General features: G+C 38.5%; 1 protein-coding gene across 1 annotated transcript, besides 4 other annotated features; it reads left to right on the top strand.

The window, feature by feature from the left end:
- Positions 15055-15354: an enhancer, noted in NCBI's record as "active region_19975". NCBI's record gives its function as "activates an Ori minimal core promoter by ATAC-STARR-seq in GM12878 lymphoblastoid cells {active_cell/tissue: GM12878}" and the evidence as "EXISTENCE:reporter gene assay evidence [ECO:0000049][PMID:35858748]".
- Positions 15055-16145: a biological region, named in NCBI's record as "H3K27ac hESC enhancer GRCh37_chr3:53925074-53925974".
- Positions 15245-16145: an enhancer, noted in NCBI's record as "H3K27ac hESC enhancer chr3:53925074-53925974 (GRCh37/hg19 assembly coordinates)". NCBI's record gives its function as "activates a minimal SCP1, AML or CMV promoter by ChIP-STARR-seq in naive H9 embryonic stem cells {active_cell/tissue: H9 hESC(naive)}" and the evidence as "EXISTENCE:reporter gene assay evidence [ECO:0000049][PMID:30033119]".
- SELENOK (selenoprotein K) lies at positions 15333-22775 on the top strand. Its single transcript, NM_021237.5, has 5 exons — positions 15333-15422; positions 18709-18799; positions 20258-20341; positions 21280-21366; positions 21631-22775. The coding sequence occupies exons 1-5, from the start codon at positions 15404-15406 to the stop codon at positions 21632-21634; spliced, it is 285 nt and encodes a 94-aa protein (NP_067060.2). The 5' UTR covers positions 15333-15403; the 3' UTR covers positions 21635-22775.
- Positions 24824-24913: a silencer, noted in NCBI's record as "silent region_14469". NCBI's record gives its function as "represses an Ori minimal core promoter by ATAC-STARR-seq in GM12878 lymphoblastoid cells {active_cell/tissue: GM12878}" and the evidence as "EXISTENCE:reporter gene assay evidence [ECO:0000049][PMID:35858748]".

Raw genomic sequence — 24921 nt, 5'->3', positions numbered from 1 at the left:
GGGCCCTAAATCTAACAAGTGTCCTTATAATACACACACACAGGAGAAGACAGACGCAGAGGAAAGGGTGATGTGAAGACAAGGCAGAGATTGGATTGATGTAACTATAAGCCCAGGAATTCTGGGCAAGCCATAAGAAACTGGAAGAGGCAAGGAATGGGTTCTTCCCTTGAGCCCTGGAAAAAATGTGTCCCTGCCAGATTTTGAATTTCTAGCCTCTAGAACTGTGAGAGAATAAATCTCTGTTGTTTTAAGCCACCCAGTTTGTAGTAATTTGTTACAGCAGCCCTCAGAAACTAACACACCAGTGCTTTTTATTTTTCATGTGGATTTGAGTTATTGCTTACTGTCCTCTCATTTCAGTCTGCATTAATCCCTTTAGTATTTTTTTGTAGGGCAGATTTTAAAGCAATGAATTCTCTCAGGATATGTTTATACAGGAATGTCTTATTTTCTCATTCATTTTTGAAGGATAGTTTTTCTAGATATGGAATTCTTGATTCACAATCTTTTTCTCTCAGCACTTTGAATATATCATCCCACTGCCTTCTGGCCTCCGTGATTTCTGGTGAGAAATCACGTGTTAATCTTATTTAGAATTCCTTGTGTGTGATGAGTCACTTCTCTTTTGCTGCTTTAAAGATTCAACACAGTTTGATTATCATGTATCTAGGTATGGATTTCTTTGGTTTTATTTTATTTGGAGTTATTTTAGGTCTTGGGTGCATAGACAAATATTTTTCATCAAACTTGAACTGTTTTTGGCCATTATTTCTTCAAATATTCTTTATCCCTCTTTCCCACCTCTCTTTTGAGACTCCCATTATGCATATGTTTGTATGACTGATGGTGTCCTACAGGTCTCTAAAAACTGTTCACTTTTCTTCATTCTTTTTTCTTTATGTTCCTTAGATTGGATAATCTCAATCTATCAAGTTCACTGATTGTTTCATCTGCCTGCTCAAGTTTGCTGTTGAGCCACTCTAGTGGATTTTTATTTCAGTTTCTATATTTTCAACTCTAGAATTTCTATTTGGTTCTCTCTTCTTAAACAAAATTTGATCTCTTTATTGATATTTCTATTTGTCAAAACATCAGTCAATCAGTCATACTTTCTTTCTTTTTTTTTTCTTTTTTTTCTTTTTCTTAAACAGCATCTCATTCTGTCGTCAGGCTGGAGTACGGTGGTGTGATCTCAGCTCACTGCAATCTCCACCTCCCAAATTAAAGTGATTCTCCTGCCTCAGCCTCCCAAGTAGCTGGGATTACAGGTGTGCACCACCACACCCAGCTAATTTTTGTATTTTTAGTAGAGACAGGGTTTCACCATATTGGCCCAGATGGTCTCAATCTCCTGACCTCGTGATCCACCTGCCTCAGCCTCCCAAAGTGCTGGGATTACAGACATGAGCCACCATGTCTGGCCTTTTTCATTCTTTAGACATTGCTTGCTTTGCTTCTTTGCTTTGCTTTGCTTCTTTGCCCATAAATCTTTTTTTTCTTTTTTTTTTTTTTTTTTGAGGCAGAGTCTCAATCTGTTATCCAGGCTGGAGTGCAGTGGTACAATCACAGCTCACTGCAGCCTTGACCTCCCAGGCTCAAGTGATCCTCCCACCTTAGCCTCTTGAATAACTGGGACCACAGGCACATACCACCACATCCAGCTAATTAAAACAAATTTTTTTTTGTAGAGATGGGATCTCACTATATTGCTTAGGCTGGTCTCAAACTGGAACTCCAGGGCCCAAGTTATCCTCCTGCCTTGGCCTTCCACATTTCTGGGATTACAGGCATGAGCCACCATGCCCAGTCTTAAAATCTTTATCTACTAAGTCCAACATCCAGGCTTCCTTGGGAACAGTTTCTATTGGAGTTATTTTTATTTTCCTCTCTATGGTCCATGTATTCTTCTTTGCATATCTCATAACTTTTTATTGAAAAATTGACATTTTAAATAATATAATGTGGCAATTCTGAAAATGAGATTCTTCTTCCTTCTCCAAGTTGTTTAGTGACTTTTTAAAACCAATGCTGTAAAGGCTGTATTCTTTGTCATATATAGCTACTGATGTCTCTGCTCAGTTAGCTTAGTAGTCAGCTAATGACTAGACAGAGATTTAAAGCTCTGGAACCAATAAGTCTGCCACTTTTTGCAGAAGGGATCTGGGTGTGTGTTGGGGCATGCCTTCAACATTCAATTGGGTAATTGGCAATTCTGCCTTATCCTTCACTTCCTGCTTGTTCCATCTCAAAACTGGCCAGATGTGAGAGCTTGGGACCTACTCAGTTTGCTTATTATTTTTTTAATCTCACCATCTAGAAGTAATATCAAGTTTTTCTTCAGCATGTACACAGCCCTATTCATGCAGGTGGCCTTGTAGATTCCTAAGAATATGTCAGGGCTTTTCAAAGGCCCTGTGGATATCTCATTGCCCAGTTTTCCTTTTAAGCTTTCTGTTTAGCCTATTGTCTACCCCAACTGTTACTGACTGCCTGAGGCAGTCACAAAGTCAATCAATTGCTTTTAATTGTTTTCAACAAATGCCCCTGTGATAAGTATTTTTCTACACTTGAGTTCCTGATTCAGATTTTAAAAAAGCCATGCAAATAGAAACTTCCAGGGACTCTTCAGACAGGTAAAATAATGACAATTCTCTGTGAAGGGGGCTTTAATAGTTCACCAACCCCCTTCTGCTCTTTTATTGACTGCCAGGCTGCTGGTTTGTATGACTAAGGGCTGATGGTTTTCAAAGCTTCTGCAGAAATGAAGAAGGGGGAATGGGAATAGGGCAAATGAAAATGGCACCATGATTGCTATTTTTACCCGATTCAGCCATCTTTTTAGAATTAATGCTCTCCTTGTGGTAGGCCAGGTCTCACTAATGCAGGCCTCCATAACAACTGTTTCAGTACTGAGTGGTTAAGTTAAATATTAAAAGCTAGTGCCCTTATACAAAGGCTGGGATGTAACAAAAGCCCATCAAGAGTTTTGCCTAGACCTTTCCTGGGCCTTAAAGCATAACAAAATAACAAAGGAATTCTTAACAGGACCCATTTAAGAACAAGTTTTATTGGGGGTCTGAAGAAACTGCCCAGGCCTCCACAAACAAGTTTATTGGGGGTCTGAAGGAATCCCCAAACTTCCATGATTTAGCAGGAGACAAGATAAGGGTAATCACTCCAGTACCTGGACCCATTTAGATTAAGTAAATTTACTGAGGCTCCAGAGGAAGGTATTCAGGACTTAGACCTTAGTTATATGTTAAAAAAGTTAATCACTTAAGTCTTTAGATGAATGCACACTTACACATAGACATATAGCTTAGGAGGTATATAAGCTCTGGAAAACTTTGTAATTTTGGGTTGGTCTGGTGATAATTTCCAGGCCTTCTCCCTATAACCAGTTGCAGAAATAAAAACTCTCTTCCTCCCCCAGTTCATCTGCATCTCGTTATTGGGCCACAAGAAATAGCAGCCTGACCTTCAGTTTGGTCCGAGAACACTCCTGATTGCTGCAAGCCTTTGGTTAATTTCACAGTTCTAAAAAAATTGATTGAGACCATTTTTGCAAATTTGCTCATTGTTTTTATACAGAAGATAATTTTTGGAGATTCTTACTCCATCATTTTTGCTGATGTCTTCCTAATGTATCATTTTTATGATTTTTTTACTTGAAAAATATTACTCCTTAAAGAGTACTCAGATAGGCTGGGTGCAGTGGCTCATGCCTGTAACCCCAGCACTTTGGGAGGCCAAGGCGGGCGGATCACGAGGTCAGGAGATCGAGACCATCCTGGCTAACATGGTGAAACCCTGTCTCTACTAAAAAAAAAAAAAAATACAAAAAATTAGCTGGGTGTGGTGGCAGGCACCTGTAGTCCCAGCTACTCAGGAGGCTGAGGCAGGAAAATGGCATGAACCTGAGAGGTGGAGCATGCGGTGAGCTGAGATTGTGCCACTGCACTCCAGCCTGGGCAACAGAGCGAGACTCCGTCTCAAAAAAAAAAAAAAAAAAAAAAAAAAGAAGAGTACTCAGAGTACTCAGATAATAGGGTAATGGAGTCAGTATCTACATGATATTTGGTACTTACCTAGTTCCTGGAAAACATATCACACTAGTCACCAAATCATCAGAACACTGGGTTTCCTCCTATGGACAGAAGTTTGTTAGTTTTCTCTTCTTTATTAGAAATTTTTATTTTTATTAAAATACATGGTTGTCAGAAGCATTCATTTGAACCAGAGTGACTTCATCTTGAGTGAGGGCTAGAAAAAATGAGGCTAAGACTTGTTGGGCTGCATTCCCCGGAAGTTAGGTATTCCTAGCCTCTAGATGTTTACGGTTAAGGAAACAGATTGATAACGTTTACTAAACAGACCCAGACTCAGGAATGGTCCTAACATCCCGTTATCTCTAGCACAGAAGCATTCCTAATTTTGCTTTAATAATATCGATTCTTGAAAAATATAGTAATTAAGAAAATTAATCCTTTATCACAAACCCTTGTAGTAGAGTGCATCTCCCCATGATTTTGTTGTTGTTGTTGTTATCCTATATATAAACAAGCATTTATATATATATCCTATATATAAACAAGCATTTATATATGTATCCTATATATAAACAAGCATTTATATATATATCCTATATATAAACAAGCATTTATATATATATCCTATATATAAACAAGCATTTATATATATATCCTATATATAAACAAGCATTTATATATATATCCTATATATAAACAAGCATTTATATATATATCCTATATATAAACAAGGTGGGTGCTTTTCTCCTCTTTCAGAAATGCCCTACTCTGTCTATGGAGTAGCTATTCTTTCACCACTTTATTTTCTTAACAAACTTGCTTTCATGTTGCACTGTGGACTTGTTCCAAATTCTTTCTTGCACGAGATCCAAGAACACTCTCTTCAGGTCTGGATCAGGTCCCCTTTCCAGTAACATGGTCATTCACACATGACAAGGGATTTATCAAGACATTTCAACCACTGCAATGTATTTTGATACTTATTAGACAAATGAAAATGGAAAAAAATTGTGATAATTAGCAGGGGGTTTTGGAACATTGAATATTTAATGACATTAAGAAATTATTGTTAATTTTTGTTGGTGGGAAAGTAGCATAGCAATTATATATTTTAAGGAGTCCTTGTGTTTTAGAGATGCATGCTGAAATATTTACAGATGAAACTATATGACATCTAGGATTTGCTTAAAAATAATCTGAGTAAATGGGGGAAGTGGGTGGGATGAAACAAGACTAGCTATGAGTTGATAATTGTCTAAACTGGTTGGTATGTACAAAGGGGTTCATTATAATATTCTAGCTTTTGTCAACCTAAAAGAATCAAAATGGTCAGAATCTAATTTACGGAGAGTGCAAAGCGTGAGGATGGCCCACCTGAAAACACCAACTCCAAAGGAATGGAGTCAGTGTTCTGAAGTAGGGAAGTTAAGGTGTCAGTTATACAGGCAGAGACAGAGGAATTTTTAGCAGGATTACAACATTTTTCATACAAGACTGGCACATAGTTACAGCAATTTGATTGGTTATAGGGAATGTTTCTTTTTGGGAAGGGTACATTTAACACTTTTTACAGAATGTAATAGTCATGGGTTTTCTGTCACCTGATCTAAGCAAAGCAGGACAACAAAGAGGAAGAAGTTAATCTATCATAAGGGTCATTAATTAAGAAGGCAAGAAGTTTTTGTCCTTGACTTGGTTTAATTCTTTCTAGTCATTGTACTGAACAAGAAAATTAAGAAAGCAAGTTAGTCTATAATCTGAAAAACAAGTTGGAACCATATGTGACTCAGATCACAGTCATATGTATCTCAGTCCTTAAAGGGTTTTTTGGGAGATCCAATAGCTTTTAAATTATGTTTATTTTCTTATTTTCAGTGTTTGAAATATTCCATAATAAAAGGTTTAGGGGTATTGTTTGTAATGTTATCTTTCTTTATGCCTGGGCCTGTGAGGAATTTTCGTAATTTCTAGTGAGTATGTCTTAAAGTAAAGGTTGCAAACAGGTGGCTGTTGCACTGTTCATATCCTATAGGCAGGTTTTATTTGACCAGCACCATGTTTTTTGAAAATATGAATTAGTTACCAACATTTAAAAATAGAGAAATTTCAGATAATCATCCAGATTTTACATTTCTCTTAAAACCATTGGAAACTCTGGCTACACTGGCCCCCGATCCCTCATGGTGACAGCTGGCTAGAGCTGAAAAGTTTCTGTCCCCTGCAAAGAAGGAAGGCACTCTCTATTTGCCATAGTTCCCAGCTGCCTAGCCCTCACAGGCACCAAAGCATGCCACTCCTGCTTTATTGCACTTCCAAGGCTTGTTGACAATAGGAGATAACAATGAACAATAATAAAAAAAAGTGTGCCTGACTTTAACCAATGTAAACTATTACTTACATCTGAAGATCAAAAATGATTTAAGAGGTAACATTTCACCCATCTACAAGGCATTCAGAAGTGACAGGAAAATATCTTATGCAAGACTTGATGCTAATTAGAACATTTCTGGGGTGACAGTGAACCAGCTAGGCTTTATTAGGTACACAACAAATCTAAGTCAATGACAAACAATTTTCTTTCATATAAGCTATGGAAATAGAATGCTTTTAAAAAATCAGTCAATTCAAATTAATTCCATCATAAATCGTATTAGGTTTAAGGTATGTGATCATTTGAAAATTCAGGTGAAAGGATTCCTGAAAGACAGATGAAGTCTCATTATAATCCTTCATTTCATTTCTAGCTTCTTAATCCGGTTAAAACAAACAAACAAATAAAAACTTTATCTTACAAGATATACTTCAGCTGTCATTTCTCAGGAATCCTTCTCTGATTCCCTCCAGGTATCACATGCTATCCTTCCTCCTCATTTTGTGTGGGATTCTCTTATGGCACCTGACCTTCTTCTGTCTTATATTAGTCATCTGTGCATTTATCAATCCCCTTCCTTCTTGTGGAGAATGAAATTTCTTAATGGCAGAGAATCTGCAGCCATACTCCCTGGGCCTATATCGCATAACAACCAGGCAAGCTCTTAAGTACACCTCACATCACTCAGATGGTCAAAGGAGGCCATTTCCTTCTCTACTTTTAGATTTCAAAAGCAGTTTATTTATCCCTAAAGCTGAAATACCACTTATTTTGGAGTGAGAGTTAAAGAAAACAAGCTGCTCACAGAGGATATTCCAGAGCATGCTTGGTAGGCACCACGTGGGCAGCCTCCCAAATCCTCTTGACCCTGTAGAGGCTTAGGAAAAATCAGAGTCTCTGCAGCCCTTGTTCACTCTCATACAGAAGGCAGCTCAAGTTTTGTATTTTACTGTATGAGTACTTAAAAGAAATCACTTATTTTCAGCATTGATTCCCTGCCTATTTCCAGAAAGTGCCTTCCAGCTGGAGGGCAAAAATCATTGATTTGGACTCTAATTTCTTTCCCTAAAAATAAGACTCAGTTGCCACAGTGTACTATACTATACCCTCTAAGTTATTTTATAGGGATGCAGATAGAACTCTCACAAAGCAACATCTGGGTTTGTTTGTTTTCAGAATTTAACGGTTTTTGCCATAATATCAAATTCCACAGATTTTTCTGATTCACAGGTCATTTTTTCAGTATGGTCAAAATACTGGTAAGATGATTCTAGTATCTATCAACAATCAGTTTACTACCAAAACGAAAGGCTAAAAACCTAAAAACTCTTTTTTTTAAAAAAATTAATAATATGATAACATGTTAGAACTCAGAAAAAGCATGTGTTTAAAATGAATGTTTTTAATTACTAGCCTTACCAATAGATCATTCACAAAATTTGAATGTATAATGTTTCACTTTAATCAGAAGCAAAGGCTTTTTTGAGCTAACCAGCAAGGAATTTGAAACTGTGCTTCCTTGCTTCTTACTAGAGTCTATTCATACTTAGAAAAAAAAAAACATTGACTTGACTAATTCACTTGAGTGGGGTGCATATATATATATATATATATATATATATATACACACACACACACACAATTAGATATATATATATACACAATTAGGTATATATATATATATATACACACACACACACAATTAGGTATATATATATATATACCTAATTACAATTAGTATACAATTAGGTATATATATATATATATACACACATACACACACAATTAGGTATATATATATATATACCTAATTACAATTAGTATACAATTAGGTATATATATATATACATACACACACAATTAGGCAGAGCTGATGATAATCTTATGAAATAAAATTGGCAAAAGTTAACAACTACCCGAGTAGTTAATTTTCTATCATTTCTATCATATCAAGAAAAAAACTTTTAAATTTTTAAAAGAATTATGCAAACCATTAAACTAGAAATAAACCGCATTTCTAACAAGTATAACTTTTTTTTTTTTTTTTTTTTTTTTGGAGACAGAGTCTTACTCTGTTGCCTAGGCTGAAGTGCAGTGGCGTGATCTCAGCTCCCTGCAACCTCTGCCTCCTGGGTTCAAGCGATCCTCCTGCCTCAGCCTCCTGAGTAGCTGGGACTATAGGCACGTGCCACCATGCCCAGCTAATTTTTTTGTATTTTTAGAAGAGATAGGGTTTCGTCATGTTTGGCCAGGCTGGTCTCCAACTCCTGACCTCGGGTGATCCACCTGCCTCAGCCTCCCAAAGTGCTGGGATTACAGGTGTGAGTCACCATGCCTGGCCCAACTTTTAGAAAGTATTGATATTTATTTATAGTTATAAGAGGAATGCATGTTTATTGTAGAAAATTTGGAAACTATAGAAAAGCTTAAGGGAAAGAAAAAAATTACAGCTCCCATAATGTCATATTAGTATATTTCCATATAAATACATTTCTTTTTTACATTGATATCATAGTGAACATATTGTCTTGTAATCTGGTTTTTCACTTAATATATCATGGTTTCTCATTATTTTAATGTACAGTATGATGTTGTATTCCAACACTTAGCCAGTTCCCCATTGTTGCACAGTTACATGGCTTCCATTCTTTTTCATTCCAAATAACACTGTGATAAATATCCTTTCACATAAATCTGTTTGAACATCTCATTGTTTCTTCAGAATAAATTCTAGAAATGGAAATGCTGGGTTAAGGATATGAACTTTTTTTAAGACTTATGATGGAAAATGTAATTTAGTAGGGTTTCTTTGGAATTTTACGCTTCTAAAAACAGTAACTCTGTTGAAATGACTAGAGTTATATTCTGGGTGGCTTTCCCATGTGGTAACAGTCCCAACACTGAGCTCCTGAGTACCCAGTTAGCCTACTAAATCTGGGTGTGAACTGCTCATGCTGCCACTGCTGCTGCAGCAGTAAGCCTAAGCGATGGCTCTCTGTCGTGTCCTAGCCCTGTTTGCATCCCCTACATCTGCTCCCCACCCTTGCTAGCCAGCTGAGTCCAGTGCAGGAACAGGTCAGCACCCAGGGTGGCTGTATATCCATTTCTACTTGCTTCTCCACTTTTCTGCACATATGGTCTCCACCATACTTGTGAAACATCTCAATCTGAAAAGACTGGGTGCCACTAAGGAGTAGCTAAATACATTCAAAAGGAATGAAAAAATAATATCAAGCAACACGTCTTCAGTTGCCAGGTTCCATTTTCAGAGGCTCTGTTTCATACTTCCCATCAAAAACAAGTTACAGTTTCACAGCGAAGACGTGAATTACTGATAATTGTGAAAGATGATTTTTTGAGATCCATATTTGACCTTGGGTAATATTATCCAAGCTGCTGGTGTTATACAATTAGTAAGAAAAATAAAGTGCTCTTGAACTATTAGCAACAGCTTCCCTAGCCACCAGCTGAGGTCACAGCAACCTCCCTAATAGCATCCTCTCAAGCCTAACTAACAATTTTTCCCACAAACAGTAATCACTGGGCCATAAAGAAAGAACTCTTCCCTAAGAGACTATAAAATAAAACTATTTTCATTGAACCTTCCATTAAAAGGACAGAAAGTGTCAAGCCAAATCAACGTTTTATTCATCTGTTTGGTTTTGGAAAGATTAAAAGTGGGATGTTTATTGGCAAAATAAATGTTTTTAAATCATTCACACATTTCGGATTACTAGTAATGATTCTTCCTGTTTATAAGTAATAATGTGTTTTGACAATACCAGGAAAACAGCAATTGTTCTGGAAAATTTGTACATAAATAACAGAATTTTTACAGTTAAAAGCAAAACAGCATTTAATCTAAGACCTAAATTGTCATGTTGATTTGATTAAATACATGTATGAACTTCCACTTCTGCCGTGAAAGATTAAGTAATTTGTACTAACTTTCCTCCTCAGGAAAACTAAAAAAAAAAAAAAAAAAAAAAAAACCTAGACAAAATAATGAGAAAAAAATAACATTTTAAAGGCATTAAAAGAGCTAAAAATGAGTGAGGAATTGCTTGGCCAAGATTCAGAAGATGGAAATTCAGAGAGGTGAATCTGTCATCAAGGCTTCTATTGCCCAAGAGGAATTTGCCAAGCAGTGCTTATGACAGTATCACTAAGCCAGGGAATCAACACTGAGAATCCTGGGTTACAGGAGAAGAAAGGAGACTTGCTCTTCATGGGATATCCCTTTGCATCTTTTGATTTTAATATTATGTACAGGTACCACATTCAAACAAAGGAAGATTCAAGAATCATCAATAATATGCACCAAACCAGTTAGTGAATAAGAATAATAAATTACACATTCCTTAATGTCACATGGCACATATCTATACTCTATTTTTTCAAAATCTAAAGGCTGATGTTATCTTGAGATCTATAATAATAAAATGCACATACTGTTATACTTTGTATACTCCATATTTAGGAATCTAAAGATAGGGCTTAGAAAGTAACACATATTTTGGTACTATGGAATACAATTCTAAAAATATTAAAAATTTGCTTTTAGTGATCAGTCAATGCCCCTAGAAGGCAACTAACACCTAAATCTCTGATGGTTTAACTTTAAAATTCTGGACCAGTATTCCATTCCATCTACCACTATAATGGTTTACATTACAGTTACCAGGGTTGCCAAAAATGGATTATGAGTTAAAAAGTAAGAAATTATCATTGGAATAGTATTTTTCATCCTGTAATAGAACCACAGGTTGAGTCTAGATATTCCTTATTCATTTAAAAATAGGCTATGTGTGTGTGTGTGTGTGTGTGTGTGTGTGTGTGTGTGTGTGTGTACATATACATATATATATATATAATCATACAGGCTCACTAGTGAAACTGATAATGTAATTAACTCAGTGAAATACTTTAGAGACTACAGAGGAAATTTTTAAACTTTTAAGCCAATCAAATTCTCCAAGGATGACTGCAATGTGAATTTTTATAAACATTTTCTCATTTTGATACAGAAAATAAGTTCAGGTAGTTTAAGAAAGTGACTTGTAGAGTTGTACAACCATCACTTCAGCTGAAGTGATGAGGTGATTACTGGTTCAAAAATTGCTGATTTGCACAGCAGGTCCAGTCTGGCTACACAGTTTTACAAAAATTGAAAATTAAAAAGAAAAAGTTGCTGTGAATAGCAACAATAAAGAGTATAAGGTAGAAAAATGAGGCAATTAAAGAGTTAAGGATTCTGAGTCCAGATGAAATAAAGAATGCAAAGGCAATAACTCTAAGAACAAACACATAAAAGGTCAATAAAGAATATAAATGCCATCTGTTTTCATGTTTCCTAACAGTAATATTGAGGACATCTTATTGTTTCTATGTAACCCAGTGTTCCTTCATTATCTCGTGGTAACCACCACCCCTCTCCAACTCTCAAGCCCTCTAGCTTAAGTGGGATTGAGTCAAGCTCCAGCTCCAGAGGTAGCTGTCATTCAGAATGGCCCATCCCACTGGCCAAGGGTTTAGTGCAGAGATATGAAGGTCATCCACTTAGAGATGCTCAGGGAATTTTGCTGGGGAATCTAGAAAAGAAAAACTGGGCAGCTATTTTGCAACTTTGAGAAAGCTGAGATACAGTCAAACAGTCTCCAGAAATCACCTCTCATTCTATACTACAAATACCGTGGTGGATTGTACACTATTTCAATACTTCTGTTATGTGTGGAGATGCAGCATAGCACAGGGGTTAAGAGCACAAACTATAGAGCCTGGCTCTTGATCTTAACCTCAATTCTGCTTCTTATTAACTGTGTGATCTTGGGCAAGACACTTGAGCTCTCTCTCAGTTTCCTCATCTGTAAAATGGGAATAACAGAACTCAGTAGGGTTGAAGTTTAAATGAATGAATACATGAAAAGCAATCAGAACGTTCCCTGGCACAGGGTAAGCACTATACAAATGTTAGCTATTATTATCGTCGTTGTTATGAGGATTAAATGAATAAATGGAAAGTGTTTAGAACAGTGCCTGACACATAGTAACCCTGTATACATATTATCCATTATTAAAACTACCAATTCTTTCATTCACTCAACAAGTATTTATTGAATACCTCTTCTTTGCCAGGCCAATGTCTTCATTCTAGACAAGCAGTATCCAACAGAAATGTAATGTAAACCATGTATGTGAGCCAAGTATGTAATTTTAAATTTTCTAGTAGTCACATAAAAATAAATGAAATTAACAAATAAAATTACTTTTAGTAACATATGTTCTTTAATCTCCAAAATATCATTTCAACATATCAATATTAAAAACAAGATATTTTACAGTCTTCATTTCATTCTAAATCTTTGTGATCTGGTATTTTGTACAGTACATTTCAATTCAGACTAGCCACATTTCAAATATTCAACAGCTACATGTGGCTAGTGGCTAATGCTTAGTTTCAGACATTAAAGGTTAGGGAAAGAGGGGAAATGCTATCTTTGTCCTCTACCACTAACTATATAATTGTAACTAACTATAATTGTAACTAACTATATAATTTTTTTCAATTTTCAAAGTCCTTTCACCTTTGTTATTCGAGAGGAACATGCCTTGCCTTGAAGGATTGATTAGATTTTAGCAGGTGGAGAAAGTTCCTTTCAAGAGGAAACACATGAGCAGAGGCAACAAGGCAGGAAAACAAAGGGTCTACTAGGGAAGTAGAAATCAGAGAGCAAAATCTAAGATGTATCAGGAAAGCCCTTAATGCCAGACCAGGGAGGCTGAATTATGTTTGTCAGGTGGTGGGAAGAAACGGAAGGTCTGTGAATGGGAGAGGCAAGATTGGATTAAACTAACAGGTGAAGATAGCATGAAATGGAGTACGGAGAAACTAGAGGTAGCTCATTAGGAAATCACTGCATTAAATCTCAGGCAAAAATGATCTAGATAAAGGAATGGAAAGGAAGAGATAGCCTCACAATGTCCGATACTCAGGAGATCCCAATGTTAGTTTCTTTCCTCTTTTGGCAATTGGAGAGATTTTAAGCAATTGTCAAAAAATTGTCTAAAAAAATCTCATTCAACCAACCAACAAATATCTGAGCACCTACTACTTGCCAAGAACTATGACAGACCTTGAAGATATAAAAGACAATAAGGCAGACAGGATTCCTGACCTCTTACGTCTTATATTTTCTTGAAGACAAGAGACAAATCAATTATCAGACAGTTTCACAATGTGAATTACTATGAAGAAAATAAACACGGAGATGAGTGGCCAGGGAAGGGCACCCAGAAGTGGTGACAACTAAGCAGAGGGCTAAAGGATAAAATGAGCTGGATGTGCAAGGAGTCCGAGGAAGAGGGTTCCAGGTAGAGGGACAAGTATGGGCAGAGTCCTGGAGGTATCAGTAAAACCCGGGGTGTTCACAAACTAAAACAACAATGTTGCCAGAGCATAATCTGGGTGGGGGTGTTCATAAACTAAAACAACAATGTTGCCAGAGCATAATCTGGGTGGGGAGATGTGGCTGGAAGTACAGTGAGAGGAGCAATCAAGAGGACAAGTCACCTTGGGCCTGCAGGCCATGACAAGGAACTGGATTTTAAGAGCAATAGGAAGTCACTAAATTTTAGTGTCCAAAAGGTTTTAGGCAAGGGAACGAGATGATCTCCGTTTTAAGATCGATCTTGCTACAGTTTGTAAAACTGCCTAAGGATGGTAAAAGACTGAACCTGAGATTTCATTTAGAAGGAAACTAGCGTAGAGCAGGTGAGAGATGATGGTGGCATGGTCTAGATTAAGAAAGGCCCTTGGGAAAATTAACGGCCCTGCCCTAATATTTTTGCAGAAATGATCCTTTATGATTGTGCTGCACAAATCCCAAATGAGGTGAAGGATGTTGTCTTGTCCTATTATGAACTTTTCTGGGGAAAATGCTCTCTCCAAAATCAACATAAAATTAGATCTTTGTCAGTTCTAAGTATTAGAACATAAAATCTTAACCAAAGTTGTTAAACTCAAAATAGATTTTCAGCATGTAATTTTCATTTTCTGGAAGGTGATTAGGAATCTTTCCAAAGAGATGACACATGGCTTGAGAACTGGGGGCGGGAAGTCAAAGGAAGCAGCCATTAGGTCTCCACGCTGAAAGAATAGCTAAGTGCAGAGGCCTTGAGAAGGGAATGAAATGGCCACGTTCAAGGAACAGAGGCAGCCCACTGGCTGTAGCAGAGTAAATATCCATGGTATGTGGTCCACATTTACTGAATGTCCAAGACATGTCTTCTAATTCGTCTGTCACCAAAGTGGTCATAAGCAGTCGCCATCAATAAGAAACAAGCAGAGAAAGGGCCTACAGTTCAATTTATTTTTCAGTTGCCTCACAAAAGGCTAAGAAAAACTTAGTTTCTGGTGAACCCAGGTAGACATGCTCATTTTAAAGAGAATGAATATATCTAGGAAGAGCCTGGCAGTATATTCCCAAAGGCGTGACAATAAAGTTCCTTAACGTGTAGTCAGCACCCTCAAACGTCAACACGTCTGGAAAATTCGGAAGCGTTTCCTCCTGTCAGCGGCCCTTCAAGCTACCTCATACAGGGCAGCCTCTCCTACCCAGACCCGGAGCCTATCAATCGACGAGAAAACAGCTTCCCCTCACTGGGCGGTGCGAACCAACTCTGCACGATCAAGTCGGATAGAGGACTGGCAACCGCGGGCACTACAGGGCAGTCCTTAACGTCATATCCGGTTGTCAGCTCGGCCGCCTCCGCCTAACCAGAAGTCGCAGATGTGACGATGCAAAAACGCCCGTCGGGGGCGCGTCTCTTTCAGCAGCCAATGGGCTCTGCCCACCTTCGTCCTCGTCAGCATTTTGTCTAATCGCGGCCTGTGACGCTCGAAGGGCGGGGAGCAGAGGGAGATACAGAAACCGACAGGGGCCAGGCGCCCGGTGGCTCCGAAGCGGGGAAGTGGGACAAGATGGTTTACATCTCGAACGGTAAGTTGAGAGCGGGCTGTGGCTTCGACCGGTGACTTGTAAGATCGGACTCCAGGTTCCTTTCATCGTCGCTCGCTGAGTCTTGAGCCCGGTGCGGCTTCCCCGGGCTTAGCGCCCCGCGGCCGGGCGGAGCTGGACCGAAGTCGCCTCGGCTTGCGGCGCGTCAGCCGATGGTCTCTGAGCCGGCAGTCGGGGGCCGAGGTCCCGCCGGCCTCACGTTGAGTACTGGGAGCCCTGCAACCCCGCCTTCGTGCAGCAAGCGCTTGATTGTGGATTTGCGAGGGTGGTCTTTCCTCTCTCGGGTGTCGGTATCCTTAAAACTAGTAAGGACAATGATGCCGACGCTGTACACGTAGCGCTTGTGCCCTGGACAGTGTTTCAGTTATTTGCTTATCGTCACATTCAATCCTGTTTTACGGGTGGAAACTCTGAGGCTCAGATAGATTAAATAGCTTGCCTGGGCTATTTAAGTCACAGAGGTAACTTAATGGCTGAGTCGGGATTCGATCACAGGTAGGCTGACGTCAGCGTCCTTGTTATCTGTTATGCTGCCTCTGTCTACAACGTGTAAAAAGACCGAGCCGACCTAGGATGATAATTAGATGAAAGCTTTGCATAGGCTTTTTCCCCAGGAAAGGGTAGCTAGTCAAACATGGAATTTTTTGCTCGAATTTCAAGGGGCATGGGAAGAAGTACTATCTTCCCCTAGGAGCAAGTTAATTATTACCGGAATGGAGAATCCGAGAGACTTAATTCTGCGAACCCACAAAGAAGATGACCGGAAAGGAAGGACATGACTGTGTCAGATCAGTGCTAGAGCTGCCTGCCCACCTGTTTGACTCAGGTGAAATTCTTTGGTACAGTCTTAACAAGGAGTTGTGGATCATTGGAACTAGGTCTTGGTTCTATTTGAGTCATCTGTTTTTCTCCAGAGACGAGTAAGGTAGTCAGTGAGGAGCCTTCTGGCTGACTGCACTTTTGCATTTCTTGACTTTTAAAAATCTCCCCTTCTCATCTCCCACTTAAAAATCTTTGAAACAAGTAGATTGATGGACACTACAGAAAAGCATCAAAATTTCATCTTAGTTTTGGGCGCTTTCAGACTTTAGTCTGTTTTATAGCCTGTTTTATAGCCTTTGTGATATAAGCTTAAGGCTGGAAGCTTCTGTATGAATTATTGAATAATTCCTTGTATTTGTTGTGTCTTACTGTGTTCGCATTATTTCATTTGGTCCACATAAGTAGCCGATTAGGACTCTTTATCGTACTTTAAAAGTTGAGAAACACAACTGCATTCAAACACCTTACTTCTCTCTGGGGATATTGGTGGAAGGGACATTCTGCCTTAAGAAAGGGAAAGTGGAAAAGCAAGATAGAATCACAGAGGAAGAAATGACAGGTTCCAATTAGATCCACCTTCTTAGGACTGTATTATCAGCACTTGACAAAATCTTTCTCTTGCTGTCAGATGACTTTTTTTTTTCCAAAAATCTTATGTGATGGCTAGCCCTGGAATACTTTTTGTTGGAGAAAGAAAATGTCACATCAGCCAACGAAGCAGAGCTAGTAAGAGGCAGAGAACTAAGCCTGTCACCCACCCTCTAAACTTTTGTAGCCCCTTGCTCTCAGTAGCACAGTGAGAGCTTAGATCCAAGTGGGTATCTGAAATTAAGCTGGTCAAGAAAAGAGGAAAAGTAAACCCTCATGGAGTGGGTAGAGGTGAGTGGGGTTAACTCTTGGGATAATGGAAAGGAGAGGTAGTTGACAGTTACTCTTCCCCGAAAATATTCTGACATCTTGATTTGCAAGGCTGAAATATAGTGTACCAACTTATGTTGTAGCTTCTATTAAAGTGGTTTGAAAAATAGATCCAGTTTTGCTTAAGATAAAGCTAGAGTCTATTAGAATTAAGAGTATGCTGTTATAGAAAACAGTAGTTATTTTAATGAAGAACAAGCCAAATTCTCTTTAGTACTTAGAGCATACACACTCTTTATAAGAATTTTATAAAAATAACTGATTCCAAAGACTTGTAAGAGTATGAATACGCAATCTTTTTATACAGGCAAGAGACTTTGCAAATGAAAAGAAATACTCAGCATGTTTAGGAATATGGAAGTGGTGTGAGCATTCCTTTATATTCACCCGTCCCATTTGTTTCTTCAAAGTACTTGAATAAAGAGGTATTTTTACACCCATGTTGATAGCAGCATTATTCACAGTAGTCAGAAGGTGGAAGCAACTCAAGTGTCCATCAACAGATATGAGTGGGTAAACAAAATGTAGTATATACATACAAGGATATATTATTCAACCTTCAGGAAGGAGATTTTGACACATACTGCAACATGGATGAACTTTGAAGACATGCCAAGTGAAAAGCTGGTCACTAAAGGATAGAAATTGTATTATTCTTCTTTTATGAGGTTCCTAGAGTAGTCAAATTTGTCGGGACAGAAAGTAGAATGGTGGTTGCCAGGGGCTGGGCGGAGAAGGTAATGGGAATCAGGGTTTAATGGGTATAGAGTTTCAGCTGGAGAAGATGAAAAACTTCTAGAGGTGGATGGTGGTGATGGTTGTGCATCAATGTAGAATGTACTTAATATCACAGAACTGTACTCTTTAAAATGGTTAACCATTGGTAACCATTGTTACATTTTTAAACCATGATAAATTTTTGTTTTATATATATGTGTTTTTTTGTTGTTTTTTGTTTTTTTTTTCTTGCTCTGTCGCCCAGGCTGGAGTGCAGTGGCGCCATCTGGGCTCACTGCAACCTCTGCTTCCTGGGTTCAAGCAATTCTCCTGCCTCAGCCTCCTGAGTAGCTGGGACTACAGGTGTGTGCCACCATGCCTAGCTAATTTTTTGTAGTTTTTAGTAGAGACGGGGTTTCACCGTGTTAGCCAGGATGGTCTCAATCTCCTGACCTCATGATCCGCCTGCCTCGGCCTCCCAAAGTGCTGGGATTACAGGCATGAGCCACCGCGCCCAGCCTTTGTTATATATTTATAGAAAGAGAGAAAGTAGTTGAATAGAATGAAGTCACCCACCAAGTTTATAAACCAGTAGGCTTTTGACATACTGGAGGAATGTCCCTAGATAATGGAACATTACTTCTCCGAACCTTTCCTTGGAATGATGCTCACAGATTTCTTCTGGTGTTGGCCATTTGGAATAATGGGCAAGTTAAAACCCCAATCATTGTTACCTCAATAATTAAATGTGATGCCTCTTGGGTTAGGGATTTGTAGCACTCACTAAAGTTTCTTTAATTCTTATCTGTAGGACAAGTGTTGGACAGCCGGAGTCAGTCTCCATGGAGATTATCTTTGATAACAGATTTCTTCTGGGGAATAGCTGAGTTTGTGGTTTTGTTGTAAGTATAGAAGAGCTCTTAATTGCCCTGATATTTAAGTTGACAGGTATACATCATGTGCATTATGTTAGGGATCTTAAATAAGCTCAACTTTCCTGAAACAGTTTTCTATTGCAATTTAAAAAATAGCTTTACACAGGGAAATAGATGTTAGTGATAAAGTTGCTACCACCAGATAGCTTATGATTATGAGTATATGTTAGTTGGATTGGTAAACTTGACCACATCTTAACCTTGGTGGTAACTACTTCAACCTATGGCTGGGTCCGTCAATTCTGATGCTAAATGACTGGACCTCACTTTCTCTCTACTATTCTTGTTTTGTTTTTTTCTTTGTGCATGCAACTTTCATTCCATATTATATAACAAGTAAATAAAAGGTTTTATATCCTGGTTTAAAAAAAATTCCAAAGAAGTAAACTTTTTTATAATGAAGGGTTAGAATTGGTAAAGGAGACAAAAATTTAAATGTCTTCATAATTGTAAGCAGTTACTAGTTAAATGCATGTTTTGGTCTTTTACATGCTGTTTGTTAGAATTGTTCATCAATAATTAAGAAGTCTTACCTATTCCTAAATTTGAATATATATTTGAGTGTCTCATGATCAGGGAACTGTAGGGATGCAAAGATGTGGGAGACCCTTTTTTCATTGAGTTTACTGTCAGTAAATATCTTCATATTGCAAGGGTGGGCATGACTGGGAGGTGAACATCAGAGGAAGTTATCCCAGATAAAGGAAACCACATGAAGGATGGCATAGAAGTTTGAGTATCAGGCTGTGGTCTTTATGCTTAATTTGATCTTAGCTGTGGTTTAGAAAGTTTAATTTTATGGCTATATATAGCATAAACTAGATGGTGTAGAATGTAAAATGGAAGAGATGGTTTCATAGAAAAATACAACAGGGCACAAGAGAGGCCCTAAGTTACCCAATCCAAAACTTAACTCTTTTACAAATTTCACCTACTCCATGTTGTTTATAAAAGTACTTTTTAAACTCAGTTAAATCCTTCCATATAATTTTACATATCATTTTTAAAAATTCCATTTCAATGGATTCCCAGAAGCCCTGTGCCTTTGCCACACCACCCTTGGCCCCTCCTTCCCTAAGATGTTAGGTAGACTTTTGCAGGGGAAATGAGCATGAGACACTGTAAAAACCCGATGGCTGATTTAAAGTGGAGGTCAGGGATGACTCTGGTTTCATGCTCTGTCTAGGGGAGTTATTAGCAAATAAGAAATACAAGGAAGGGTAGATTTGGTGTACAACATAGCACATTCAGTTTAGACACATGCTTAAGTTAGATGGTGGTGTCCAGCTGGCTGCAAGAAATGTGGGTTAGGAGCTAAGTGGGTTTAGTAATCCTCTCACAGAGATGATGGTTAAAAAACATGGAAATATATTTTAGAATGTTGTCAAAAGTGATACCTTTGTTGTTTTCTGCCCCTTGTTTCAGTTTCAAAACTCTGCTTCAGCAAGATGTGAAAAAAAGAAGAAGCTATGGAAACTCATCTGATTCCAGATATGATGATGGAAGAGGGTACAGCTTTTTAAATTGATAATAGTTGTTTTTATGTCTTTGTATACCTTTATTAGATATTTTAGGTAGATAGAGTTAGACTTTTGGAAATTAAAAGTTTAAATCCTATTTTACAAAATTAATGCATTACTGTAAATTAAAAGTCAAATTGCTTCTGATTTGATAATAATCAGTTAATCTGACAAAGCTAAAATATACATGAAATATCCCATGGAAAAAGTCTAAATTAGAGGGTGAAAACTGATGGCCACCATTAAAATCTAAAGATTTCATTTTAACATCTGGATTTCTAGTTGCTAATTAAAAACTTAGAAGATCGCCAGGCACGGTGGCTTGAGCCTGTAATCCCAGCACTTTGGGAGGCTGAGGCGGGTGGATCACGAGGTCAAGAGATCGAGACCATCCTGACCAACATGATGAAACCCCGTCTCTACTAAAATACAAAAATTAGCTGGGTGTGGTGGTATGCGCCTGTAGTCCCAGCTACTCAGGAGGCTGAGGCAGGAGAATTGTTTGAACCCAGGAGGTAGAGGTTGCAGTGAGCTGAGATCGTGCCACTGCACTCCAGCCTGGAGACAGAGTGGGACTCCATCTCAAAAAAAAAGCCGTAAAGATCAAGATCAAGTAGCACTGGGCTAGGCTTATGTTTCTACCTGGCAAAAATCAGCTGGAGCTGGGTTTCAGTGGGGCATTACTGGAGGTGCTATTCAGTTCATCACAGTCCTTTCTTGACTCAGTTCCTTGTGTGCATTATGTGTCTGGTCCCTTTAAGTGTTTTAATTTTTGCCTCCTGACCTAAAATGGTAGTTTCTATTTTAAATTGTGTTTTAGGGTCATGTGGGTGCTGAAAAAGAAAAGGGTCTAGTTGAGTGCTTTTAAAAGGAGACAATTCAAGTTGTGTCTATCAAACAGTAGATACTAACTTTTTATTTTATTAGGCCACCAGGAAACCCTCCCCGAAGAATGGGTAGAATCAATCATCTGCGTGGCCCTAGTCCCCCTCCAATGGCTGGTGGATGAGGAAGGTAACTTCAGATCTGAAATTCTTTTGTAGGATTTTGTTTTGAAAACACTTCTGTAGTAATGTTTTCTTTAAGAAGTTGCCCAGCAGCTTATAATTACTCAGACATTATTTGGAAATATATTTGTTATCTTAACCCTTGAAAAATTCACTGGCCTTGTTATCAAAATGTCTTTTGAGAAAGATTTTATAACATGTAATATGTTGAGGTTTTCACACAGATCCAAATTAATAACCAGTAACTAATTATTGTAACATTTTCTTTCAGGTAAATGTCTGCTCTAAGAAGCAGACAACCGGACATGCGCATTCATAGCAGAAGGAAACCATCAAGAAGTGGAAGGCTGACCATGATGAGCAGTAGATGAATGTGTATGTCTAAACAAGGACTGCTCTGTGTCCTCACAGATGAATGAGGTCATGCTGGGAATTCCCTCTGCAGGGAACTGGCCTGACTGACATGCAGTTCCATAAATGCAGATGTTTGTCTCATTACCTTTTTGTATAGTTTATTAAAGTATTAATATAGTTTTAATAAGTAAATATTTTTAGGTTGCAGAATGGACTCCTCATCTTTATATTCACGAAAAAGCAATCTGAAGAAAACAAATAAAAGCCTGTGTATTTAGCACTGTTAGTGTCACCTTTTCAACTTCTGAAACACTGTTCATTGTTAACTTTTTCTCATTTATAAATCACTGTATTTATTTTAGTAGTATGCATAGCATATCTGTGCTCTTGAATTAATTTTTATCTTTAACATATTTGTCTCATCAATCTTTAATACACTGTGTCTAATTTGCTACCAAATGTAATTATCAGGGTATTTATAAAACCATAGCTAACAAAACTGAGCTACAAAATGAAAATTTACTAAATAGTTTTTAAAATCATGGACTTCAGCCTGGCGCGGTGGCTCATGCCTGTAATCCCAGCACTGTGGGAGGCTGAGGCGGGCAGATCGCCTAAGTTCACGAGTTTGAGACCAGCCTGCAGCATGACGAAACCTAAAATAACAAAAATTAGCCAGGCGTGGTAGAGTGCACCTGTAATCCCTGCTACTCAGGAGGCGGAGGCAGGAGAATCGCTTCAACCCGGGAGGCGGAGGTTGCTGTGAGCATGCCACTGCACTCCTGCCTAGGCAACAGAGTGAGACCCTGTCTCAAAAAAATAAATAAAACCATGGGCTTCCATGCTATCTTGACAAATTTGCACTCTATAGCATCACTCAAAATACTGCCTATTGGCTTTAAACTCCATCTGAATACTGATAACTTTCACATTCTTTCACTAGAGTGGAAGCTCTGAGACTAGGAATTTTGTTGTCTTTACCCCAGTCCTTTGAATAGTGACTACATGTAAGATAGTCATGTAGTATTTATTGGAAATAAATATTTATTGGAAAAACGAAAACAGATAATTCCTCTTCTGGTGTTTAACAGGCTTTGAAACCAAGTGTTCAGGTGAAAGCCTTTTTATATTGATTTATCAGCATTTATTCAACCCCGTTTGTCGGGAAATGGGATGTTGTGGCATAAGATACCAATATTCAGGATAAAGAAGCAATTACAATGCAGGTTTCAGGATAAGGATAACAGTTTGCTGGCCACCTCAATTATGTGTCAGATTTTATTTATTTTTTAATTTTTATTTTATTTTTATTTTTTATTTTTATTTTTGAGACAGGGTCTCACTCTTATCCAGGCTGGAGTACAGTGGCTGCTCACTGCAGCCTTGACCTTTTGGGCTAAAGTGATCTCCCACTATGGCCTCCCTAAACGCTGGGATTACACGTGTGAGCCACAATGCCCAGCCTGTAAATTTTTACACATTTTAAATTCTGACAAAGTGAGGGATATGTATAATGTATACATATATACAAAGTGAGGTAAATGTATAATGACATTTGCATTATACAGATACATGCAAGGGTTCAGTAAAGTTTGGCAGCTTCCTAGATTGTATTGCCAGTGAATGGCAGAGGCATTATTAAACCTCCACCTTACCCTATAGCGGGGAGACCATGGCAGAGTCTCAGTAGGTGGTTGATTGTTGTTACTGATGGCTCTTCCTGAGCATGTGAACCATGGTCCTCTTCTGCCTCCTAGCACTGCTGCTGCAGGACTTGTTCCTCGGGTCTTATCCCAGAGTTCTGGCTGCATTTGACATTCAGGTATTCTTCTTTGCACTTCAGATAGAATGTAAAACACAGGTTCTTGAGTACTTTATGCTTAACTCTTGTCTTTGCTACTCAATAGCTTATGATCTTGAGTGAATTATGCCATTTTATCCCACTTCACTCACCTGTAAAACGGGGATTAAATTTTTACCTCCAAGAGTTCTTTATTTAGTATTTAGTCATCACATGCTTATTGGGCACCTACCATGTGCTGAAGATAACTGGCAAAGTCTCACGGAGCTTACATTCTAGTGTGGGAGACAGTGAGCAGGCATGATAATTACAGACTAATGCTTCATGCTTCAAAGGGAATAGGATGATGAGAGAATAACTGCGGAAGGCCTGAGGTGACATTTGAGTTCAGACGTGAGAATGAGACAGCTGAGGGAAGAGCATCCAAGGCAAAATGAACAGCAAGTGCAACAGCCCGATGACGGGAAGGGCTTGGCATGTCTGAGAAAGATAAAACAGGTGTAGCTGGAAATGCCAAGGAATGGGGAGAGTGTTGTGAGGTGAACTTAGAAATGTAGCAATAACTAGATATGGTCTTTAGGTGGTGGTTAGTTTAGATTCTGTTCTTTGAGCAAAGGGAAACCATTAGAGTTTAAAGCATGAGTGACATCTAATTTTTGAGGTAAGTCTTAGTGGAGTGCTGGGTACATAGTAGTATTAACTACGTAATATTTTAAAACAACGTGGGCAACTATATAAGAACAGATCATAGGGGGACAGGACAAGGAGTTCGAGTTAAGAGGCTGTTGTAGTCATCCAGGTGAGATGATAGTGGCTTGGGCTAGGTAGTGGCATGGGAATGGAGAAGTGGATGAATTCAAGATCTATTTTAGAGACTGCAGGATTTACTGATGGATTGGATGTAGAAGCTGTCAACAAGTGAAGAATCAAAATGACATTTACTGAGATGGTGAAAGTGAGAGGGGAGGGAATCAAGAGTTAAATTTTGGACATATTTAAGTTTGCAGTGCCTTGTAGACAATCCAGATGGAGAGACCAAGTAGGCACTGGTTATCAGTACGGATCTCTCTGAGCGGTTCATCCTGGATATATATATTTGGGAATCGTATTCATTGCTAAAGCCAGGAAACTGGATAGTCACCCAAGGAGTGTGCCTGGAAAAGACCTAACCCCAACATCAGAGGCTGGACTGAACATGAAGACATATGAGAAAAACTAAGAGTACATATGGTATCTGGGAAGCCAGGAGAAGAGATGCCTGTGAGGACGAAATAAGATGCGGGTTATCAGCCGACCCCCACTAGGCGCTCGAAAAGCTATGTGTACTATGTTGCTGGCATCTACACAGTCAGGACTAATCACAGCAACACCCACCCAATCAATCCGCATGCACACCCCGCCCCCAGC

Source organism: Homo sapiens, chromosome 3 (genome assembly GCF_000001405.40).
Source record: "Homo sapiens chromosome 3, GRCh38.p14 Primary Assembly".
In the NCBI taxonomy this organism is placed as follows: domain Eukaryota; kingdom Metazoa; phylum Chordata; class Mammalia; order Primates; family Hominidae; genus Homo; species Homo sapiens.
The sequence above is the reverse complement of the archived record's forward strand: the minus strand, read 5'-3'. Positions and strand labels throughout refer to the sequence as shown.